Source organism: Homo sapiens, chromosome 2 (genome assembly GCF_000001405.40).
Source record: "Homo sapiens chromosome 2, GRCh38.p14 Primary Assembly".
Lineage (NCBI taxonomy): Eukaryota > Metazoa > Chordata > Mammalia > Primates > Hominidae > Homo > Homo sapiens.
The window spans coordinates 152,845,219-152,854,015 of NC_000002.12; the positions used below are offsets into that span (position 1 = coordinate 152,845,219).

The 8,797-nt window shown below is 41.7% G+C and overlaps 1 annotated feature.

Annotated features, from left to right (window-relative positions):
- Positions 1,093-2,292: an enhancer, noted in NCBI's record as "MED14-independent group 3 enhancer chr2:153702825-153704024 (GRCh37/hg19 assembly coordinates)". NCBI's record gives its function as "activates an origin of replication core promoter dependent on BRD2, BRD4, P300/CBP and CDK7 cofactors, and independent of MED14, by STARR-seq in HCT116 cells {active_cell/tissue: HCT116}" and the evidence as "EXISTENCE:reporter gene assay evidence [ECO:0000049][PMID:35650434]".

The window sequence follows — 8,797 nt, forward strand, 5'->3', positions numbered from 1 at the left end:
AGCCAAAAATTGAGGGAAAACCCTTATGTGTGTATTGAGTGTTCTGTGAACCTAGAAAAGCAATGAAAGATTACACTAGGTTGTTAACAATAGTTTCCTGGCTGGAGGAGAGGGAAGAAGTGGAATTTAGAGGTTGAAGTGATGAAAAACGAAGGACTAGGGGAGTTTTCCACACTAACAAAAACAACACATGTTGCAGAATTTCATTTATGTGAAACTTAATACATGTGTATGTACATACCTGTATAGACATGTATGAAGAGGTGCATTAAGGTTGGTTATAAAATATTAACTGTGGTTATCTGAAGGTGTTGAGATTTCAGGTGATTTTACTGTTTCTCTCATAGTATCTTAGCTAATGTCACATGGCTGGTAAGTGGCAGAGCCAGGATTCAATGTATTTGACCTCAAAGTCGTTCTACTTTTACATACAGTGTACCTCTTCCCATAGGACTACAGCAATGGTCAGTTACCAACACAGGGATATAAGCAGAAACTCATTAACCAGAATAGAGGCACAAACTGGGATGTGGATGGAGGAAGAAGGCAGTAGTCTAGTTATCAGAACTGAGACCCAAAAGTCTGTCTCTAAGAACTCAGTGTAGCTGAGTCCCTGCATGCAGGATAGAGTCACTTACCTATATCTGGCTGAAGGTCAAGCCTCTTTTAGGCAGTGGTTCTACTTCTACTCATGGCTACACCTAGGAATCCACGGGAAGAGTGAGAAAATACTGATGGCTGGGCACAGTGGCTAGTGCCTGGAATCCCAGCCCATTCAGGGCCCGAGGCAGGAGGATTGCCTGAGGTCAGAAGTTTGAGACCAGCCTGGGCAACATAGCGAGAACTTGTCTCTACAAAAGAGAAAAAAAATTAGCCAGGTGTGGTGGCGCACACCTGTAGTTCCAGCTACTTGGGAGGCTGAGGTGGGAGGATCACTTGAACCTGGGAGTTCAAGGTTATATGAGCTATGATTGTGCCACTCCACTCCAGCTTCAGTGACAAAGTGAGCTCTGTCTCTTAAAAAAAAAAAAAAAAGCTAAAAAAATACTGATACTTGTTCCCCTCTCCCCATTTGTATTGTTAGGCCTCATTCTCATCTTGGGAATAGGGATTTTAAATTGCTCCACAGGTGTTTCTAATAGGTAGCCAGAGTGGAAGTTAATAAATGGTAAATGAATCAAGAAACATTATAGTTAAATTGTGTTAACTGTCACACATAAGAAGATGATGTGGCAGAGCAGCAGTTCTCAAACTTCCACGAGCGTCAGAATCACTTACAGGGCTTGTTAAAACAGATTACTGGGATCCAACCCCAGAGTTTGTGACTCTGTGGCTCTGTGGTGGGACCTGAGAATCTGCATTTCTAACAAATTCCTAGATGCAGCTGAGGCTGATCGCTGGGGCCCAGTTTGAAAACCACTGACCTGAATAGAGAAGGGACCTGAGGTCAAGGGTCCAGTGGTGGCAGATTTGAGGAGAGTGGCTGCAGAGACCGGGAACCAGGCAGGGCCTGCTGATGTGATTGACCTTTTGAATTCTCCGCACTTGATCCATTCGTCTACCTGCCACCTCCCTTCAAAGCAAGACCTACTCCAAAAGAGAGATTTAAGGATCATTAGCTGTAATGAGATTTTATACTAATAAGATTTTATTGCTAACCATAAAATATATACTCTGCCAGTTTGCCACAAAGCAGTCTGTCCTAAATGAGAGGAACCCAAGTTTGCCTGACAAAATAAACGGATGTGATACATTTTACCAAGAAGTATCTTTCATTTTTATGTTGTTTGTTGACATTCTCATTTTCTGAATTCAACAGCACATCATTAGTGTGGTTTCTAGGTAATTTTCATAATGTAGCAAGAATATAGCACTTTCCAAAAGCACTGAATTAATTGATCCAGATCAATCTTCTCAGCATCCCTGGTAAGTAATTAGATGTATCTGTTCTACTGATAGAATCTCACTGCCTTGAAAGGAGAAAGCGAGCCGGCATGACTCAGCATGTGCTAGTAGTTAAGGCCTGTGGACTGCTGGAATATTCCTTTTGGAGTTAGTCTTCTTTCATTTGTCATCCTTCCTGAACCCTAGTGCATGCAATTAATGTGATTCAAGCATGCAAAAATTCCTGGCTGTGTGCATTCCCCACCAGCCTGTGACAGTTTAATTCCTGTTGCGTTGAACATTTGCTAAGGTTATTTTAAGTAATGGAAGCTTAATGTAAGGATATGTAGTGAGAAAATCTTATTAACCACAATTTAAAAAAATTATTTATTTTTATTTCAATAGCTTTTGGGGTACCAGTGGTTTTGGTTACATGGATGACTTACACAGTGGTGAATTCTGAGATTTTAGTGTACCCATCACCTGAGTAGTGTACATCATACCTAATGTGTATTTTTTTTTATCCCTGGCCCCCCTGCCATCCTTCCACTTCTGGTCTCTAAAGTCCATTATATCGCTCTATATGCCCATGCATACTCACAGCTTAGCTCCCACTTAAAAGTTTGCACATACACTTTTTGATGTCACCTAGAATAATGGCATCCAGCTCGATCCAGGTTGCCACAAAGGCCATTATTTTGTTCCTTTTAATGGCCCAGTAGTATTCCATGATGGAATGGACGCCCTATTTAATAAATTGTGCTGGGAAAATTGGCAAGCCACCATTTATTAAATAGGGTGTCCATTCCCCATTTTATGTTTTGTTTGCTTTGTTGAAGATCAGTTGGCAGTACATAGTATTTGGCTTTATTTCTCGGTTCTCTATTCTGTTCCATTGGTCTATGTCCCATTTTTATACCAGTATCATACTGTTTTGTTAACTATAGCCTTGCAGTATAATTTGAAGTCCGGTAATGTGATGACTTCAGATTTGTTCTTTTTGCTTAGGACAGCTTTGGCTATTTGGGCTCTTTTTTGGTTCCATATGAATTATAGAATTTTTTTTTCTAATTTTGTGAAAAATGATGTTGATATTTTGAGAGAAATTGCATTCAGTCTGTAGATTTTTTGCACAGTATGGCCTTTTTCACAATATTGACTTTTCCAACCCATGAGCATGGGATGTATTTCCATTTGTTTGTGTCACCTATGATTTCTTTCCGCAGTGTTTTGTAGTTCTCCTTGTAGAGACCTTTCACCTCCTTGGTTAAGTATATTTCTAGGTATTTTATTTTATTTTTTGCAGCTGTTGTAAAAGGGAATGAATTCTTGATTGGATTCTCAGTTTGGTCATTTTGGTGGATAGCAGTGCTACTAATTTGTGTATATTGATTTTGAAACCTGAGACTTTATTGAATTCATTTATCAAATCTAAGAGTCTCTTGGAGGAGTCTTTAGGATTTTCTAGGTATACAATCATATCATCTGCAAACACCAATAGTTTTACTTCGTCTTTTCTGATTTGGATATCCTTTATTTCTTTCTTTGGCCTAATTGCTCTGGCTGGTAATTCCAGAACTCTGTTGAATGGGAGTGTTGATAGTGGACATCCTTGTCTTGCTTCTGTTCTCAGGGGAAATGCTTTCAACTTTTCCCCATTCAGTATAATGTTGGCTGTGAGTTTGTCATATGGCTTTTATTATTTTTAGGTAGGTCCCTTCTATGCCTAGTTTGTTGAGAGTTTTTAATCATAATGGGGTGCTGAATTTGTCAAATGCTTTTTCTGCAGCTATTGAGATGACCATATGGTTTTTGTTTCTAATTCTGTTTATATGATGTATCACATTTATTGACTTGCATATGTTAAACCATCCCTGCATCCCTGGGATGAAATCCACTTGATTGTGGTGAATTATCTTTTTGATGTGCTGTTAGATTGGGTTAGCTAATATTTTGTTGAAGCTTTTTGCATTTATGTTCATCAGGGAAATTGGTCTGTAGTTTTCTTTTTTTGTGTCCTCTCCTGGTTTTGGTATCAGGGTGATACTAGCTTCAAACAATAATTTAGGTAGGATTCCTTCTTTCTCAATCTTTTGGAATAGTTTCAGTAGGATTCATACCAATTCTTTGAATATCTGGTAGAATTCAGCTGTGAATCTATCTGGTCCTGTGCTATTTTTTGAGTGGCAATTTTAAAATTACTGATTCAATCTTGCTGCTTGTTATTGGTTTTTTGAAGGTTTCTATTTCTTCCTGATTTAATCTAGGAGGGTTGTATGTTTCCAGGAATTTGTCCATTTTCTCCAGGTTTTTTCTAGTTTGTGCATATAAGGATCTTCATAGTAGTCTCAAATGATCTTTGTATTTCTATGGCGTCAGTTGTAATGTCTCCAGTTTCATTTCTTTTTTGCTTTTTTTTTTGTCGTTGTTGTTTTTGTTTTTTCATACAGAATCTTACTCTGTCACCCAGGCTGGAGTGCAGTGGTATGATTTCGGGTCACTGAAACAGAATTAAATGAAATTGCTTGGGTTCAAGCAATTCTCATGTGTCAGCCTCCCAAATAGCTGGGATTAGCTGGGATTACAGGCATGCACCACCACACCTGCCTAATTTTTTTATTTTTATTTTTATTTTTTTTTTAGTAGAGACAGGGTTTTGCCATGTTTGCCAGGCTGGTCTCTAACTCCTGACCTCAAATAATCTACCTGCCTTGGCTTCCCAAAGTGCTAGGATTACAAGTGTGAGCCACCAGGCCCGGCCTTTGTAGTTTCATTTCTAAATGAGCTTATTTGGGTCTTTTCTCTTCTCTTCTTGATTAATCTAGCTGCTGGTCTATCAATTTTATTTAGTTTTTCAAAGAACCAGCTTTTTGTTTTATTGAGCTTCTGTATTTTTTTTTCTTGGAATTTCATTTAATTCTGTTCTGATCTTTGTTATGTCTTTCCTTCTTCTAGTGTTAGGTTTAGTTTGTTCTTGTTTCTCCAGGTCCTTGAGGTGTGACATTAGATTGTCAATTTGTGCTTTTTTTTAGACTTTTTGATGTAGACATTTAATGCTATAAACTTTCCTCCTCATACTGCTTTTGTTGTATTCCAGAAATATTTGATAAATTGTCTCATTATTATCATTCAATTCAAAGAATTTTTAAATTTCCATCTTAATTTCATTGTGAACCCAGATATCATTGAAGAGCGGATTACTTAATTTCCATGTATTTGCATAGTTTTGAGGTTTCCTTTTGGAGTTGATTTCTAGTTTTATTCTACTGTAGTCTGAGAAGATACTTGACATGATTTTGATTTTTAAAACAAATTTTTTCGTGTTACAGAAAACTAACTTTAATTTTTGTAACTTTTTTCAAAAGGGAAAACAACACACTCCTCGGAGAAAGGTGAGAGGTTAAGAAGACAGGCTCTGGTTAAAAATTCTTATGACAGCAGCTACAGTTGATAGGCCTGCCTAGGAGAGAACACAGGCACTGCCACACCACCACAGGGGACAGCTGCTGTCTGGGTGAGCAGACCAGTTCACGTGCCACACAAGGTTGCTATAGATTGAAGTCATAAAAATCTTCCAGCTCATCATGAAACAAGTCCTACTCATCTTCAGAGTCTATCAGTTCATCATCCCCACCTGCAGCCAAAAGCATAAGCAACATCTTGCCCAGCTCAAAGGTGACAACCTCTTCTTCATCATTGTCAGTGGGGTTGCTGTTCTCTCTTCATTGAGTTCTCAGAAATGGTTGCTTCGTTGGGCCCAGTATCTGCTTGATGTTCCCACTTTTTGTCTCTGTGGCTTCTCTCTACGGCCATCAGGGTACACATGCTTGTAAAAACAGTTCTCTCCAAATGGGCAGCTCCCACATCCTTCATCAAAATACTTGCACACCTTGTTGCTCATTGCCTCCTTGTATTTCCGAAGGACTTTCTGCTTCTCTTTTTCTCCTCTCCTCTTTCTTTCTCTTTCTCTTCTTTCACCTCCGCCTATGGTGGTGGACAAGGGCTTCTCCAAGGCCCTTCATGTGCACAAGGGCTGACTCTTGGAATAGAGATGAAGACTTTCTCTGCTGAGCCCAGCACTTCAGCTGTGCCTCTGCTGAAGGAAGCTTTCCACCAGTAGAAGGATCTGGTGCTTACGGGGCTGCTGTCTAGATTCTTTAGTCCCACAGGATGCTCCCTTGATGTGATGCACTCCCCTTTCTCCTAGGAATGGGCGTCCCTGGGAGCCAGACTACTGTAAGTGTTGTTGTTCCTCTGGGTCTAGCTGCCCAGTGAAGTTGCCACATTCCACACTGGTGTTGGGGAATGTCTGCAAGGGATCCAGTGATGTGACCTGTCCTCAAGTTTCCTAGCAGTGGGTTAGCAGTACCACCTCTAAATGGGGGTGGCATGGGAGTGACATAGATTCTGTGAAATTCCTTGGTTATTGGTAGCCTTAGCATGTTGGCTTTCTTGAGTGCTGCTTATAGCAGTAATGAACTGATCACGTGGACAGACTCATGACCTCCTGGTTAGTCAGAGTGGTGCAGACAGTGGTGATAGCTGAGGTCATGCAGCCATTTTCTCCTTCCGAGGTATGCAGTGTTATTATACCGGGACATGCTGTAATGGACTGTGTTGGTTGGCCTCCGGTCAGGAGGTGACACTTGTGAGAGAGCACCAGCTGCGGTAGTAGCAGTGGGATTTTTGCTTGCCTTTTGTTGCCCAGGAGGGGTACTCTGGTTTCCCAGGCAATGGGCAGGGCCAGGAAGCTCCCAAGAGATTCTGCCCTTTGTGTTAAGCTACCTGGGTAGGTGGTGGGGCAAAGCAGCATTGGGTCTAGGTCAGGCAGGTTTGTGCTCTGATTCTCCATGTGCAGGGCAAGCAGCAGCCCCTGTGGGTGTTGGGGACAGAAGCAGATCTCAGGCCACTGTGTTGATGTTCCAGAGGATAGCGTGCCTGCCTCTGATGCTCAGAAAGGTTTGTGCAGGGAGTGGGGAATAGCAGGTGATGATAAGCCCCACAGTTCCTGTGTACTTGGCAAGACAGATCCAATCCCACAGTGTTCTACTGGTAGCAGCAAGATGAATTCCAGTCAGCCTGTAATCAGAACTCGCCTCTGCCTGGAGTCATAGACTTTCCTTGTGGAAATGCTAACTTTGGCTTTCAGGCCATGCCCCTCCCTGTCCGCTGCAAAGCCAGCACCTGGCTCCTGCACCCACAGCTCCTGTACCCATGGCTCCTGCACCTGTGGCTCCTGCACTCAGGACTCTTGAAACCACAGCCCGCTTTTTACTCTCCCCTGTCCTGGCCCTAGCCAAGGGACTTCTATTGTGAACCCCCCTTGGGGGCTTCTTTCAACCTGCAACCACTGCCTGAACTTTTTTTCTGTCCTCCACAGGGTGCCCTGTGAGGTATGGTAAGGAACAGCTACCCTTGGTCTGTGCTGGGATCTGGGAGTGCATGCAAGTGTCTTCCCACTGCTGCTCCTACTTTGATATTCCACAATGCTCTCCAAATTGGTTCCTGTGCTGGGTGGGGTTAGGGCCTTACTCTGTGTCCTGGACTTTCAGGGTCCCTGGTGGGGGTGTGTATCCCAGAGGCAAACTCCCTTTCACAGTCTGGGGACTTGCAGCCCTTCTCTGACTCACAGTGTAGGCTGCAGCCCCCTGCTTCCTTCAAACGGTCCATAGATTCATTTGGATTTCCTGTTCAGTATCTGTGTTGTTTCTTGAAAAAAAGTTTACAGTGTGAATCTCTACACACCATTTTGTCCTTTGAAGTGGGAGAGGTATCTAACCACAATTTTTAAAAATTCGACTTAAGTAAAGATTATAGTGAAATCACGAGACACAAATTTCAATGGTATCTAATAAGAAACTTTGATTAAAGATTTTGAGTCATGATTTATCCTCCCACCAAATATAAACCAGACAAAATCTATGAAACAACAGTTTTCAAGATATTGATCATCAGGCAGTGAAGGAAAGTGATTCCCAAGAAATGAAAAACAAACATGGTGAGTCCTATGATTGTCCCAGTTTACCGTTTTGAGAGAATTTCCAGGCCATGGTGCAGAAAGGGTGAAACCACGTGGAGCCTGGCAGATACCTCGAGCTGAGAAAACAAAGCTGAGAGTCTAGGGGTCCAAGGCAATGAGAGTTCTCAGGAGAGGATAGCAGAGAAGAGAACCAGGTATCTGAAGGTCCCCCTCGAGCATTCAACAAAGTACTGATCAGGGTCTTTGCAAAGGAGCTACCTAAGACTCAAAAAAGAATCACTGAAAAGGTTAGGAAACAGTGCCCTAGCTCCTCTCTGTGCTAGTCAGGGCCCACTCCCATATGTCTGTGTCCCCTCCCAACCCTCATCACACATTGAGAGAGAGGATTATTGGGTAGATGGTCTTTCCTCTGTCTTCCCCTCTTCAGAATTTCTTGCCTCCTTTAAGGGGAAGGTGCAGACTTGGAAATTAATCTTATTTACTTGTAGGGTCAGAATAGAACATGTCCAGTGCTCAGCTCCTGTGTTCTGACTTTTCCCAGGCAAAATTTACTTAGCTGAATTTCCAGCATGAGTATAGTTTGCAAGAAATGCTCACGCCATATGAAAAAGGTAGGCAACTTTTCTTTCTTTAAAAAATATTTTAACTTATTTTAGGTTCAGGAGTACATGTGCTGCTTTGTTATATAGGTAAACTCATGATTTGGGGGTTTTGTGCACAGATTATTTTGTCACTTGGGTACTAAGCATAGTACCCAACAATTTTTTTTTCTAAACCTCTCCGTCCTCCCACCCTTCTCCCTCAAGTAGGCTCCAGTGTCTGATGTCTCCCTCATTCTGTCCATGTGTTATCATTATTTAGCTCCTACTTATAAGTGAGAACATACAATATTTGCTTTTCTGTTTCTGTGTTAGTCTGCTAAGGATAATGGCC